The 17,218-nt window shown below is 36.5% G+C and overlaps 1 protein-coding gene across 13 annotated transcripts in view, besides 1 other annotated feature; it reads right to left on the bottom strand.

Moving 5' to 3' along the window:
* Positions 1-17,218, bottom strand: part of FUT8 (fucosyltransferase 8) — a 387,280-nt gene that overhangs the window by 133,236 nt on the left and 236,826 nt on the right. The window lies entirely within an intron of this gene.
* Positions 15,925-16,459: an enhancer, noted in NCBI's record as "H3K27ac-H3K4me1 hESC enhancer chr14:66061145-66061679 (GRCh37/hg19 assembly coordinates)". NCBI's record gives its function as "activates a minimal SCP1, AML or CMV promoter by ChIP-STARR-seq in primed H9 embryonic stem cells {active_cell/tissue: H9 hESC(primed)}" and the evidence as "EXISTENCE:reporter gene assay evidence [ECO:0000049][PMID:30033119]".

Genomic DNA, 17,218 nt, shown 5'->3' with positions numbered 1-17,218 from the left:
GATAGTAAATCATGGTTAACCAAGGTTTATCCTAGAAATCCAAGATTGGCTTAGCATTAAAAAATAAATCAATGTAATTCTTCCTATAGACAAAATTTTTTTTAAACAAAATTTTACAAAACACATTATCTGAATACACTCAGAAAAAGGACTTAACAAAAGTCTAATGTAAATTCCTGATAAAAAGTGTCAGAAATGGCTGGGTGCAGTGGCTCACGCCTGTAATCCCAGCACTTTGGGAGGCCGAGGCAGGCGGATCACCTGAGGTTGGGAGTTCGAGACCAACCTGACCAACATGGAGAAACCCCGTCTCTACTAAAAATATAAAATTAGCCAGGCATGGTGGTGCATGCCTGTAATCCCAGCTACTCGGGAGGCTGAGGCAGGAGAATTGCTTGAACCTGGGAGACAGAGGCTGTGGTGAGCCGAGATTGTGCCATTGCACTCCAGCCAGGGCAACAAGAGCGAAACTTTGTTTCAAAAAAAAAAAAAAAGGTGTCAGAAACTAGGAAATTAAGGAAATTTCCTCAACCTGATAACAATTATCTATTAAAAACTTACTGCTAACACCATAGGTTAATGGTGAAAGCATAAATATATTGCCCCTAATATCAGAAACAAAACAAGATGTCCTCTCTCACCACTTCTACTCACCACGATATTGGAAATTCTAGCCAGTAGACCAAGGCAAGAAAAAGAAACAAAGGCATTCAAATTGGAATGAAAGAAGCAAAGCTATCCTCGGTTCACATAACATGATAATCTATGTTGAAAATCTGATGTTGTTTAACAAGGTTGCAGAATATAACATCAACATACAAAATTCAATTCTATATTTCTATATTCTACATTTCTATATTCTAGCAAAAAACAACTGGAAATTAATATTTTAAACCACATTATTAGTTACAATAGCAAAAAAAAATGAAAAAAATTAAGTATCAATCTGGCAAAAGATGGGCACGACTTATAAATTTAAAATTATAAAACAACACTGAATTTGTTTAGAAATTGTCAGGCCAGTAATAAAATTCATATGGAAACACAAACATCTAGAATACTCAATACAAATCAGAAAAAGATAAAACTAAAAGGCAAACACCATCTGATATTAAGACCTATTGTATCTGGCTTGAGTTGGTGTTTGAATGACTGATTGAATGAATGAATGAATGAATGAACAAAAATTTAAAAAATTTAAAAAAAGTTTTTAAAGACCTATTATAAAACTACATACAATAATCAAGACAGTGAGGTACTAGTATAAAGACAGATGACAAAGAGCATAATGAAACAGAAAAGAGTCCGGGAATAGGCCCACACATAAATGGACACTCAATTTATTTTTTAAATAAAGTCACAAAGATAATTTAGCAGACAGTTTTCACAACAAGAGGAAAACAAGAAATATACCTTTCTGACCCTCAGTTCAGCAAAGTTATCTTAGCTATGACAGAAAGGTGTGATCCACAAAAGAAAAAATTGATAAACTGGATTTCACTAAAATTAAAAGCTCTTCTTTTAGAAAGACACAGTTAAGAGAATGAAAAGATAACCCACAGACTAGAGGAAAAATTTTTTTTTTTTTTTTGAGACAGAGTCTCACTCTGTCACCCAGGCTGGAGTGCAGTGGCGCGATCCTGGCTCACTGCAACCTCCACCTCTCGGGTTCAAGTGATTCTTCCGCTTCAGCCTCCCAAGTAGCTGGGACTACAGGAGCGCGCCACCACACCCGGCTAATTTTTATATTTTTAGTAGAGACGGGGTTTTGCCATGTTGGCCAGGCTGGTCTTCAACTCCTGACCTCAGGTGATCCACCCGCCTTGGCTTCCCAAAGTGCTGAGATTACAGACATGAGCCACTGCGCCTGGCCAAGAAAATATTTTTAAATCCTACATCTGTTAAAGGACTTGTATCCAGACTACATAAAGTATCAAATCATCAGGAAAAAAAAGAAAAAACCTCATAAGCAAAAAGATTTAAATAAATGTTTGAACAAAAAAGACAAAAAGGCGAATTAAGCACACTAAAAGACGTTAGACATCATTAGTTATTAGGTAAATCCAAGAAAGCTGGACTGTGCAGCTGCAGCAATAGCTATATAGGCTGGCCTGGTTCACTGCTTACATCTGACATCACAAAACATGAAACAGCTAATCACTAGGGTTTCCTGTAGATGATCCTCATTCCTATTTTAAAAGCCTTTAAGGATGCCTACATGTTAAGTTTTTCTGAGATTTGATATGTATTTCAAAAATTATTCTCCCAAATAAAAACTTGATGAAAATCTTTATTCAAACAAAAAGGTACCATTCTAATACCCAAACATTAGCCCCACTCTAAAGGAATTCAATGCATTAAAACATAATATGAAAACCAGTAAATTACTGCTTTGCAATCAGAATATGAAAAACTAGTGAGTTGTAGCCTAAATGAAATGATTACACGGCTCTCTGAGAAATTAAACTTTTCCCATCAAAAATGCACTTAATAATTCATGTAAAACAGGTTGCCTTTCTTAAATACTTTCAACAATTATGCCATGAACATTGGAAAGAATAAAGATCTTAATTAAGAAAAAGAACGTAGGCACAAATAAGCAATATTAGGAAAGAAAAGAGAATCACAAACAGATAAGGAATTTTAAAACATATCAAAAATTACTATATTTTCAGGCACTTGCTTTAAAAACATAAAAAACATACTTTCTAGAGGAATTAAACTACAAAATGAACTCAATAATATATAAAAATTTTCAGTGGTCAAAAATCTATTGAATTTTTTGAAACTTTAGATTCAAGCATTTTTTTTTTTTTTTTTTTGAGACGGAGTCTAGCTTTGTTGCCAGGCTGGAGTGCAGTGGCACAATCTCGGCTCACTGCAACCTCTGCCTCCCGGGTTCAAGTGATTCTCCTGCCTCAGCTTCCCAAGTAGCTGGGATTACAGGCATGCGCCGCCACACCCAGCTAATTTTTTTGTATTTTTCGTAGAGACGGGGTTTCACCATGTTGGCCAGTAATGGTCTCGATCTCCTGACCTCATGATCTGCCCACTTCAGCCTCCCAAAGTGCTGGGATTACAGGCATGAGCTACCGTGCCTGGCCAGGTTCTAGCATTTTTATATGAGTTTTACAAATATTCATAAAACATCGAATCAAAATCTAGGAAATATAAAAAGAGAGGAAATTCTAAAATTCCATTCCTGAGATTAGTATAAGATTGATATAGAAGTAGACAAGGATAACAAAGAAATTAAAGACTAATTCAAATATAAGCTTATTTTCAAACTCCCAAATGATCCATTAGTAAATACAGCAATATATTTAAAAATACATGACTATCTCAACTTTATCCTAAGAATACTACATTGGTTTACGATTAGAAAAACTATTAATTTAAATTGATTACATTAACAAATTAAAACAAAATAAAATTACAATCTCAATGGAAACAAAAAATCATTAGATAAAATTTAATACTTATTCATTATAAACACCTTAACAAGAAAGAATGAATGGAAGGTAAACTCTTTAATTCAGTAAGGAATATTAGAAATTCATAATAAATATCACATTCTATGGATCAACTCATCAGTAGCATTCCTTTTAAATCTAAGAACAATAGAAGACAGGCCTGCCATCTATGCTTCTATTCATCACTGTACTGAAGGCCTTAGCTGAGGTAATAAGATAAAGAAGTAAGACTTACAAGTGTAGAAAATGAAGAAACAAATGTTATTCAGATAATATAAACTTTAATACAGAAAATCCAAGATAATCTACAAATCGTACTAATAAAGTTCAGGGACATCACTATATACAATATCAATGTACAGAAATTAAAGTCTCTATACAACAACAACCACAAATTACTAAATGTGTTTTTTAAAATATCACATTTACAACAGTAACAGCAGAATCATAATCTTTCAAGGAATAAATCTAACAAACAGCAACATACCTCATACATTAAAAAATTATAAATTTTCTGAAGAAGTAGTTGTTTCCCAAATTGATCTATAAATTAAATACAATTCTAATAAAAATTCCAAAAGGATTTTTTAATTAAATTTAGCAAAGTGATCCTAAAATACTTATGAAAAAGCAAAATCTCCAAAATAAGCTAGTTCATTTTGCAAAATAAGAAAAAAAATAGGATTTCCCCCCATCAGAAAACAAAACAAAGTTTTACTAATGGAAACAGTGTAGTATTGGCACAAAGCCAGATAAGACTAATGGAACAGAATAAAGCACCTAGAAAGAGATCTTAGCATATGACACAGGTATCATTCTAAATTAATATGGAAAGGAAAAATAATTCAATAAGAGATGGTTTCACAGAAAATTCAAACAATCTTACAAACAAAACTTAAAAATTTTAGAAGAAATTTTGCATTCTTCATGATCTTGGGAGAGAAAAGAATTTCTTAAATAAGATTTTTTTTTAAAAGCCCAAACCATAAAAAGAAAGACTAATAAATCTGACTGCCTTAAAACTTAAAAATTTTTGGGCAGGGCACAGTGGCTTATGCCTGTAATCCCAGCACTTCGGGAGGCTGAGGCAGGTGGATCATGAGGTCAAGAGATCGAGACCATCTTGGCTAACACAGTGAAACCCCGTCTCTACTAAAAATACAAAAAAAAAAATTAGCCAGGGTTGGTGGCAGGCGCCTGTAGTCCCAACTACTCGGGAGGCTGAGGCAGGAGAATCACTTGAACCTGGGAGGCGGAGGTTGCAGTAAGCTGAGATCGCACCACTGCACTCCAGCCTGGGCGACAGAGCGAGACTCCATCTCAAAAAAAAAAAAAAAAACTAACAATTTTTGTGCAATAAAATTAATAGACAAGTCACAGGTGGAGAGAAGAGAATGGAAAATATATAATTAATGTAGGATTATTATATAGATTTTATAAAGAACTCCTTCAAATCTGTAAGAAAAAGGCAAGGCAATGTAATAGAAAAATGTACAAAGTATATGAACTAGCAGTTCATAGAAGAGGACTTCATTCATCAGTAATCCTGAGAAATGATCAGCATTTTTGGTAACCAGGATATTTAAATTGAAACAGAGATACTCTCTCCTCTATTAAAATGGCGACAATTAAAAAGTGTGATACTGAGTGAGATAAGGATGCAGAGAAACTGGAAATCTCACATATTAATTTGTTTTTAAGGGCTGCCATAACAGAATACCATAAAATGGGTGGCTTAAACAACAGAAATTTATTTTATCACAGTTCTGGAGGCTAGAAGTCCATGATTAAGGCATCAGCAGGTTTGGTTTCTTCTGAGGACTCACTCATTGGGTTGCAGAAGTCTGCCTCTTCTCAACTGTATCCTCAACATGTCTTTCCTCTGTCTGCAAGCCTCCCCTCTTTTGTTTGCCCAAATTACCCCTTCTTATAAGGACACCATCACATTGGATTAGGGTCCACCTTAATGACCTGGTTTTAACTTAATCATCTCTTTAAAGGGACTATCTCCAAATACAATCACATCTGAGGGACTGGGGTTTAGGGCTTCAACATATGAATCTGGATGGGTGGGGGAAGCAATTAAGCCCGTAACATACATTAAAGGTAGCCCATATACATTAAAGGTAGGAACGTAATATTAGAATAATTTGTTTAGAAAATATTGCTGAATTGCTCCAAAGTTGAAAATGCACATATAATAAGACTGAGAATGTATCCTTCTAAGATTACCCTAAAGAAATTTTAGCACATGTCCACAAGGAGACACTAGATGTCCATTAATAGAGAATAAATAGTAAATTGTGGTTATTCATATATGGTAATTTAATCTACAGTTAAAATGAACAAAGTATACCTACAAGTATCAATCATGAATAATCTTACATGAATTTCACAATGTTGAGTGAAAAAAGTTGCAAAACATACATATATGTAGGATGATACATTCTTACAAATTTTAAAAAGATATAAAAACATGCTTTCATGCACACTTATTTACATAATATAAGAATAAAAATGTGGACAGGAGGTATGCACAACACTCAGAATAAAAATTCCTCTGGAAAGTGAGGAAGGAAAGTGGGATTAAGAAGTTATATATACTTCATTTATCTTTTGTATTGTTTTTGTTTCAATTTCATTTAGTTCTGCTCTAATCTTGGTCATTTCCTTTCTTCTGTTGGGTTTGGGTCTGGTTTGTTCTTGTTCTTGTTTCTCTAGTTCCTTGAGGTGTGACCTTAGATTGTCTACTTGTGCTCTTTCAGACTTTTTGATGTAGGCATTTAAGGCTAAGAACTTTCCTCTTTGCACTGCCTTTGCTGTATCCCAGAGGTTTTGATAGGCTGTATCACTATTATTGTTCAGTTTGAGGAATTTTTTAGTTTCCGTTTGATTTCATTGTTGACCCAATGATCATTCAGGAGCAGGTTATTTAATTTCCATATATTTGCATGGTTTTAAAGGTTCCTTTGGAGTTGATTTCCAGTTTTATCCCACTGTGGTCTAAGAGAGTACTTGATATAATTTCAGTTTTCTTAAATTTATTGAGACTTGTTTTGTGGCCTATCAAATGGTCTACCTTGGAGAAAGTTCCATGCGCTGATGAATAGAATGTATACTCTGTGGTTGCTGGGTAGAATGTTCTATAAATATCTGTTAAGTTCATTTGTTCCAGGGTAGAGTTTAAATCCATTGTTTCTTTGTTGACTTTCTGTCTTGATGACCTGTCTAGTGCTGTCAGTGGAGTTATTATTATTACTTATTTTGTTGCTGTCTATCTCATTACTTAGGTTTGGTAGTAATTGTTTTATAAATTTGGGAGCGCTAGTGTTAGGTGTGTATATGTTTAGGATTGTTACAAGGCCTTGTATATGTTTAGGATTGTAAAAGGCCTTGTTGGACAAGGCCTTTTGTCTTTTTTAGTTGCTGTTGTTTTTTGTTTTGTCTGATGTAAGAATAGCTACTCCTGCTCGCTTTGGGTGTCCATTTGCATGAAATGTCTTTTTCCACCCCTGTACCTTAAGTTTATGTCAATCCTTATGTTTTAGGTGAAGGCAGCAGATGCTTGGTTTGTGAATTCGAATCCATTCTGCAATTCTGTACCTTTTAAGTGGAGCACTTAGACCACTTACATTCAATATTAACATTAAGATGTGAGGTACTATTCCATTCATCGTCCTATCTGTTGCCTGTATACCTTGGATTTTTTTTTAGTGTATTTTTGTTCTTTTGAAAAGATAAATAAAATTGATAGAGCATTAGCAAGATTAACCAAGAAAAGAAGAGAGAAGATCCAAAGAAGCTCAATTAGAAAATGAGCTTATGGTCATTGTGAAAATTGCCATACCGCCAAATCTACAAATTCAATGCAATCCCCATCAAAATACCGCCATCATTCTTTACAGAATTAGAAAAAAACAATTCTAAAATTCACATGGAACCAAAAAAGAGCCCACAAAGCCAAAGCCAAGACTGAGCAAAAAGAACAAATCTGGAGGCATCACACTACCTGATTTCAAACCATACTATACGGCCGTAAGTCACCGAAACAGTGTGGTAGTGGTATAAAAATAGCCACAAAGACCAACTGAACAGAATAGAGAACCCAGAAAAAAACCCAAATACTTACAGCCAACTGATCTTCGACAAAGCAAACAAAAACATAAAGTGGGGAAAGGACATCCTATGCAACAAATGATGCCAGGATAACTGGCAAGCCACATGTAGCAGAATAAAACCTCATCTCTCACCTTACACAAAAATCAACTCAAGATGGATCAAGGACTTAAATCTAAGACCTGAAACTATAAAAAAATCTAGAAAATAACATCGGAAAAAATCCTTCTAGACATTGGCTTAGGCGAAGACTTCAAAAGCAAACGTAACAAAAACAAACAGGTGGGACTTAATTAAACTAAAGAGCTTTTGCACAGCAAAAGGAACAGTCAGCAGAATAAACACAACCCACAGAGTGGGAAAAAAATCTCTGCAAACTATGAATCTGACAAAGGACTAATATACAGAATCCACAGCAAGGAAAAAACAATCGCATCAAAAAGTGGGCTAAGGACATGAATAAGACAATTCTCAAAAGAAGATACACAAATGTCCAAAAGACATATGAAGAAATGGTCAACATCACTAATAATCAGGGATATGCAAATCAAAACCACAATGTGATACCACCTTACTCCCACAAGAATGGCCATTGTCAAAAACTCAAAAAATAATAGATGTTGGCGTGGATGTGGTGATCAAGGAACACTTCTACAATGCTGGTGGGAATGTAAACTAGTACAGCCACTATGGAAAACAGTGTGGAGATTCCTTAAAGAACTAAAAATAGAACTACCATTTGATCCAGCAATCCCACTACTGGTTATTTACTCAGAGGAAAAGAAGTCATTATACGAAAAAGATACTTGCACATGCATGTTTATAGCAGCACAATTCGCAATTGCAAAAATGTGGAACCAAATGCCCATCAATCAATGAGTGGATAAAGAAACTGTGTGTGTGTGTGTGTGTGTGTGTGTGTGTGTGTGTGTGTGTGTGTGTGTGTGTGTGTGAGAGATGGAACGCTACTCGGCCATGAAAATGAATGAATTTAATGGCATTTGCAGCATCCTAGATGGAACTGGAGACTATTATCCTAAGTGAAGTAACTCAGAAATGGAAAACCAAACATCCTATGTTCTCACTCATAAGTGGGAGCTAAGCTATGAGGATACAAAGGCATAGGAAGGATACGACGGACTTTGGGGACTCGGGGGAAATGGTGGGAAGGAGGTGAGGGATAAAACACTACAAATTGGGTTCAGCGTATACTGCTCGGGTGATGAGTGTATCAAAATCTCACAAATCACCACTGAAGAACTTATATAACGGAATACCACCTGTCCTCCAAAAACTTACGGATATAAAAAAAATTTTTTTAAAAACCATCAAAACTTCAAAAGATAAAAAAAAGGTTACATCTGTATTTTATTCTAGCAATCTGAAGCAAATATGGCAAAATATCAATACTTGTTCAATCTGAGTGAAATACATGGGGTTATATTATTTTCTGAGCTTTACATATATATTTGAAGTACTCTTTAACAGCAGAAACGCGTTAATAAAATTAGATAAAAAATAAGTAGTTGCTCATCATTAATGATATTTGATTCTGATCTTCTGGCATCATATAGTAATACACTATTAGAATATTACTGTAAAAATATTATATAGCATGTCTTTTATTCAGAAGAAATTAACCAACACCGTTGCCTATCACCTACTAAATTTTTAGTCATGGTTACATAGTAGTTCAGCTGCTAAAATAACATCATTTTGTTTCACATGATAATAAGAAAAAATTTTTTAAACAATCTATAAAGAAAATCTGTAATAGTGGCATTATATCAACAAACTACTAAGATTAACATAATTCGGACCACTTCTAAATATAAACTAATATGGCTGAAAGGTAGAGTTATACTCAGTAAATTATAGATATGCAGTTTTGTTTGTTTTGGTTGGAATTTTAAGTGGTCACCCATAGGACTGAAATATTCCCAGCAAAAGCACAACAAATAATTGTATTTATTCAAATGTCAAGCTTTATAAGAGTTTGTCAAATTCGATACATGGAGAAGCCAGTTCCACTATTGAAAGAAAATATCACTTTATTCAAATAAACAGCTTCTAATGACTATACATATCCATTTTACCTAATGTGCAAAAGTGTGAATTTATTTATTTATAATTTTCAAAATTTACTATAACTTTCAGACTCACACACAAACCAAGAAGGGGTAAAAGGGACAAGCGACAATCTCAGTTTTAACAGAATAATCACATATGATAATCTGTATCTAAATTCAGCTCTAAGATACTATGATATCAACATTAAAAAGGTTTCTGGCTCAATTCTCCAAGGAAATCCGTGTCCATATTTACTTTGACAAGTGTATACTAGACTACTGTTGCATCATCCAGCAGCCAACAACAGAACAATGTAGAACGAATAGTTGTCTGTGCTCACTTCAAATGTGTTAAAAGAAGGCAATTTGGAGAAAATGTACAAATCAGGGCAATGAGTGATTAATAATTCAATGTTTTATCTCCAGATTTTTTAAATGGAAATGTAATTGCTTACTTATTTGCTCATTCCATATGCTGCAAATTTTCTTTAAATCTTATTAGAGTTTAGCTGAAAATATGTGAATAAATTTTTTAAGGTACAAGATTATACATAATAACAAGTCTAGTCCCCATGAAACCCATGTTACTACAAATATCGTCTTATGCATATTTTTTACAAATGTTTTATATATTTTAACAGCTGCAAAATATTCATCCCATGGAGACATCATCATCTCTTAACCCATCCCCTACTGATATTTAAATGTAAGTTGTTTCTATAACCACTTATTTAATGTAAGCGCTTATTTGTCACTCTATCCCGCTACATTCAAATCTGTGAGGGCACTATTCTATACCTAGCACATGACACATTCTCACGACACATAGTAGTTGCTTCATTAATATTTTTTGCATAAATGAAGTAACACAAACAAATCACTGACTACTTAGAGCTAGGAGGAAAAAGAAGTATGAAGTGGTAAAGGCAGGACAAAATAACAAAGCTCTGTCATATAACCAGCTAAAGTAATCAGTGAAGTGAAAATAGAGCATTTGTAAACTGAAATACAAGTAAATGGAAAATCCAATTGACACATCTTTTACAAACAGGTTTTGCATTAAGAGATGAGTATCTTTAAAGAAAGAAATGGATTGTTGTGGGGAATTTAGACACATTATTCTACGTTTACTTGGCTAAAGTGTACAATACTAATCCTGTTTATCAAGTTACTCTACTATTAAAATCTATCGGTTTTCTGAAAAAATTTTCTAGACTACAATGACATTTCTCTCAACAGTAACATTTAATTTTCTTCATGTACTCAAAAGAGCAAGAATCTTTGGTGAAAATATCTTATGGCACTGGATTTACAGCAGATTACTGAATTTTTGTTAGAGCATATGTATTAAGCAGACCTAATAAAATTAACGATTATTGTAAATCTCTTTTTCCAAATAAAGAAAGTAGTTAATGGCTTTATTAAGAAATGGAAAGACCTTGGTTATGTGCCAATTCACACTACTGTAAGTCTTTTAAATATAAGGTTCAAAGGTAGGGTAAATGATAATAACACTGCAATTACTAGTTTATGAAGTGAAGCAGAACACTTAGGACAAAATGTTGAAAACGGACTTGTAAACCTTGCATACCAAAGAGTATCTCTAGATGTCTGGCCCAGGAATGTATCCTGGAATCTAAGTATGGGCTTCCTGAAACAGAGCTGTAAGGCCTTTATATGACATAGGTCCAAACTAAAGCAGCTTGCCTATCATCCTGTACCAGCCATTCCCTAGCATGAGTAAGAATTTAAAATATTTCTAAAAATACTCATAACCAAACCAAGAAATAAATCAATTTTCAAAAAGGAACTTTTGCCTCCTTTCAAGCACTTCTTCAATTTTTAAGAAATGCTTTACAATAAAGATGAAGAAGAGGTGAACCACTGTTAGAAGTATAGGGAGATGGGGGGAAACATGGTAATGCTCAATGAGTTTTAGTTTTCTCCTCTTTCTTTTCAGAAAAATGATTATCTTATTTATATGCCTGATACTGATACCATATTCTGAAAATATTTTTTTTGTTTACTTTAAAGCTGATGACTGAGTCTGTGTTTGCTTATTTCTCATTTATAAGGTAGGAAACAAGGCTCAGGCAGAAATTAAATTTTATGTTCAGAGACTTATTAAAAAATGTTCTGGGCCAGGCGTGGTGACTCACACCTGTAATCCCAGCACTTTGGGAGGCCAAGGTGGGCAGATCACGAGGTCAGGAGATCGAGACCATCCTGGCTGACGTGGTGAAACCCCATCTTTACTAAAATACAAAAAATTAGCCAGGCGTGGTGGTGCATGCCTGTAGTCCCAGCTACTGAGGAGGGTGAGGCAGGGGAATCGCTTGAACCCCAGAGACAGAGGTTGCACTGAGCCAAGATTGTGCCACTGCACTCCAGCCTGGCAACAGACAGAGACTCGACCTCAGGGGAAAAAAAATATGTTCCAAGAACCATCAAAGTATTTGTAAATTTTTACTTAACTTCTAAATAAAATATATCTTCCAATAATATTTCAGCCTTTGGAATAGTAATTATACTACTATGAAAACACATTATTTTCCTCCATAATTCAGTAATTAAAATGAAGTTGAACTGGAGAAATGAGAAAAAGATCTCTATCAAAAAACACTCAAAGCTAAATTAGTAAATAGATGTATACATAGTAAATAGAGCCAAACCACATCACTATTATTTAACAGAATAAAAAAACTGTGGCCAGGCGCAGTGGCTCACGCCTGCAATCCTAGCACTTTGGGAGGCCGAGGCGGGTGGATCACAAGGTCAGGAGTTCGAGACCAGCCTGGCCAATATGGCGAAACCCCGTCTCTATTAAAAACACAAAACTTAGCTGGGGGTGGTGGCGTGCATCTGTAATCCCAGCTACTTGGGAGGCTGAGGCAGGAGAATCACTTGAACCTGGGTGGCAGAGGTTGCAGTGAGCTGAGATCACGCCACTACACTCCAGCCCGGGCAACAGAGCAAGACTCCCGTCTCGGAAAAAAAAAATTTTTTTTTAGTAAATACAGCCAAACTGTATGACTGTTACATAATAGAATAATAAAATTTTTGAGACAGGGTCTCTTTCCGTTGCCCACGCTGGTGCAAATACAGCTTACTGTGTAGCCTTGACTTCCTGGGCTCAAGCTGTCCTCTTACCTCAGCTTCCAGAGTAGCTGGGAACTACATGTGTACGCCACCATGCCCAGCTAATTGTATTTTTTATTTTCTGTAGAGACAAGGTCTCACTATGTAGCCCAGACTGGTTTCCAACTCCTGCGCTCAAGCAATCCTCTCGCCTCAGCCTCCCAAAGTGCTGGGATTACAGGCATGAGCCACCACGCCTGGCCAACAGCTTAAATTAAAACATATTAAGAACAAATTCACTGTGAGATGGCCTGAGTCACAAATACCTGGCTCAATGTTAAACTGATTTAGTTGTCCATATTAGTCAGTGCTACTAGAGCTACTGTCCTCAATGTTGTATAACAGATGTTTAGAGTTTCCAAGCCTCCAAAAAAAAATTCTGTTACACTATCATGGACTTTACTCCAAGACAAGCCATTCTGTGATATGCACCATTCTTCTTCTTTTATTTATGTTTTTTTTTTTTTTAGACAGAGTCTCGCTCTATCGCCCAGGCTGGAGTGCAGTGGTGCGATCTCGGCTCACTGCAAACTCCGCCTCCCGGGTTCACACCATTCTCCTGCCTCAGCCTCCCGAGTAGCTAGGACTACAGGTGCCCACCACCATGCCCGGCTAATTTTTTGTATTTTTAGTAGAGACGGGGTTTCACTAGCCAGGATGGTCTCGATCTCCTGACCTCGTGATCCACCCGCCTCGGCCTCCCAAAGTGCTGGGATTACAGGCGTGAGCCATCGCACCCGGCCTGATAGTGTGGATAAATCAGATTAATCCACCACCATCACTGAAAAGCTCATTCAAATCAGCGCCTTTTAAAATGCTGGTTAGCTGCATTATCCAGAAAAATAATATAGAGATTTAAACTATAGTTTTTACAGGAAGACAGACTTTAGTAAGAGTCTTACCGTGTGACTCTTAACTTTTCCTAGCTGTGTGACTCTGGGCAAGTTATTTAACCTTTCTAAGCTCTGTTTCCTTATCTGTACTATGAAAATAACAATAGTACCATAAAGACTTATTTTGAGGACTAAATGTTCCAAAACAGTAGGGGCTCAATAAATGTTACCTATCAAAATTATTTATTGTGTTCTATTGTGGAACAGCACAGATTACTGGTAAACAATTTTATGGTATAGCCCTCAAATTTTAAAAGGATTATAAGGAATATGATAACAGCTTCCTCTTACGAATTATGCTGCTGAGCTAACTAGGATGTCTACAGTCTAGAGAAAATTTAAGAAAATTCTACATATCACAGTAAGTGTTTAGATAGACCATGCTTGGAAAACTCAAAAGACTAGAATATAGCAAGTCCTATGAGAGAAAACAACCATGCATTTTAAACTATGATTTCATTTAAAAAAAAAAGTGTTATATCATCAAAGAATTCTGTAGTTGATATTCTTGAGGTTGGATATTTGTATATTTGGTTTCTTCTTATGCTACCCTAAAGGTATTGGTTGAAAATTATCTAAAAAATAAGTAACTCCCCTAACTATTCTGCAAATCCATACCATCATCTCCTTCAAAAACCTGAAGAATGAAAGAAAGATGGCTCTTAAAAACTTCAGTAACATTAAAATAGCTGATCATGTAAGAAAGGAAGACAGTCCTCCTACAGAACAATGGTTTGGATAACTGCTATAAATGAATTAACAATTTTGGAAAGAATACTATAAAATTATATGATAATATCAAGAGTTCTAAGTGAATATTGCTGCTGTCAAAGCAATGATTAATAAGTATGTTTAATCTTCAAACTATACACACTCACATCCAAATAAAAAGATGTAGTTTTTATTATAGCAAATCTATATTTAAAATCAAAACACATCAAAATTACAACTTTTCATTTTGCATATGTATGTGCATGTGTTCATCTCTGTGTATACTTTCTCTAACCCAGTTAAAATAATCATTCCAAAAGGGTAAAAAAACCCCACAGAGCCTGAAGAGGACAAAAATTAATCTTCAATTCTACTGCCAAAGGTTTTAGAATCCAGATTACCAGTTTGTCAGGTCATTCTACAAACTTCATTTCTACTGTTATTAGATAAATTTATATTTCCTAGCCCAGGTGATACTATTTATCCTGATACTTTCAAAAACAAAGGTAGTCATAGTAACTGTTTATCAGCCACAGCAGAATGTTTTAGGCTAGAAATAATATAAGAGGATGGTGTGGGCCGCGCGTGGTGGCTCACGCCTGTAATCCCAGCACTTTGGGAAGCTGAGGTGGGCAGATCACAAGGTCAGGAGATTGAGACCATCCTGGCTAACACGGTGAAACCCCGTCTCTACTAAAAATACAAAAAAATTAGCCAGGGGTGGTGGCGGGTGCCTGTAATACCAGCTACTCTGGAGGCTGAGGCAGGAGAACAGCATGAACCCGGGAGGCGGAGCTTGCAGTGAGCCGAGATCCCACCACTGCACTCCAGCCTGGGTGACAGAGAGAGACTCCGTCTCAAAAAAAAAAAAAAAAAAAAAAAAGAGAATGGTGTAGAAGATAAATCGTCAAGTTATTTGATAAAGAATATAAGGAATATATGTCAATTCTACTTAATTCGAAGTGAACTTTCTTCTCAAAATCAAGTAAGTGGTTTTAGTTCTAATCCAGACTGAGGTATATAACATGAGAGTGAGGAAACAAAATACTTTACTTTTAAGGAGGATGAAGTAAACCCTGGAAACAAATTTTCTTTATAATTTCACCTCAAATAAGAAATGCTAACATTTTTAGTTCATATTAAAATAGTCAAATAGACACAACAGGGTTCAAGAAAATATTTTTGAAATTATGCTAGTTAACGGCATTCTGATTATTACATCCTCTCATATTAACCATATCCAGACACTTTCAGGAGACTCAGGAATCAATAATTAATAAATACAGTAAATATAAGGTGCCAGATAAATGCCATTATCAAAGATTAAATATTCTAATGCATAAGATGAAACTTTAAGAATACACATTTGAAAGTGGTTTTGACAGCAACAGGAGGCAGAGGAGGCAGAGACACTCTAGGCAGACAGGGGCAAGTCACTGGCAAAATCCCAACTTCGAGTGGAAAAGTCTGAAATCGGTGGCCCAAAGTGAAAACTTCCATCCCTGTGTGCCCGCTCTCTCCCAATTGGTTGTTTCTCAATAATATCTTTTTACCAATCGAATGCTGCCTTTTCCAAAACTACCTATGGCCCGTCCCAACCCCCATTCTGTGCCTATAAAGACCCCAGACTCAGCCGGCAGAGGAGAGAAGTGGCTGGATATCAAAGAGAGAGGACTTAACTTCAGAGACACCGGCTGGATGAGGCAACTTGACTTCAGAAGAGAGAGGCAGAGAGGTGGCTTGACTTCAGGGGAGAGCAACCTGCCCTTCCCGCTCCCTTTCTCGCTCCCCTCTCCACTGAGAACTGCTTTCACGACTCAATAAAATTCTCTATATTCACCATCCTTCAGTTCATCTGCATGACCTCATTTCTCTTGGGCACCAGACAAGAATTTGGGATGTACCACATGCCGGTACCCAAAAAGTCTGTCATACTGGCCCTCTGCCCTCACTGGCAGAGGGCAGCCACCCAATGCAATGAGGCAAAGGACACACTGAGCTGATAACACACTGATGTCTGCAGACAATGGAGCTAAGACAGCATTGCAACATACCCCCTGGGGCCTTGGGGTCGTAGAAACCCCTACCTGGATGCTGCCACAGGGCCTGAAGGGAGTTTACTCCTGTCATCGCTGAAGCAGCTGGCAGTCCCTGCACTCACTCACTTGCATGCTCCCTCCTGCGAGGGGTGGAGCCAGGCAGACCAAAGTAAATAGTAAGTTTACCCAAGTAAACTGCCGGGCCCCTGGCCAGTTCCTGCAGTTGGGTTCCTGTACTCGTTTGCACACTCTCTCCCTCCCACAAGGGGTTAAGCGGGGCAGGCTGAGTAAACGAGGCACCCCTGTCATACACCCCACAAAGGGGTCAAGAAAATATCCTGCATCAGTTTTTCACTAATTATTTTCTGACTAGTTTTAATGCAGATTTACTAAAAGTCAAATCTGGCACTGTGAAATTTGTTAGAAAGCACATCTTAGGCCGGGAGCAGTGGCTCATGCCTGTAATCCCAGCACTTTGGGAGGCCAAGGTGGGCAGATCACCTGAGGTCAGGAGTTTGAGACCAGCCTGACCAACAGGGCAAAATCCCATCTCTACTAAAAATACAAAATTAGCCAGGTGTGGTGGTGCATGCCTGTAATCCCAGCACTTTGGGAGGCCAAGGCAGGTGGATCACCTGAGGTTGGGAGTTCAAGACCAGCTTGACCAACATGGAGAAACCCCATCTCTATTAAAAATACAAAATTAGCTGGGTGTGGAGGCGCATGCCTGTAATCCCAGCTACTCGGGAAGGCTGAGGCAGGAGAATCTCTTGAACCCA

This window comes from Homo sapiens, chromosome 14 (assembly GCF_000001405.40).
Source record: "Homo sapiens chromosome 14, GRCh38.p14 Primary Assembly".
Lineage (NCBI taxonomy): Eukaryota > Metazoa > Chordata > Mammalia > Primates > Hominidae > Homo > Homo sapiens.
The sequence above is the reverse complement of the archived record's forward strand: the minus strand, read 5'-3'. Positions and strand labels throughout refer to the sequence as shown.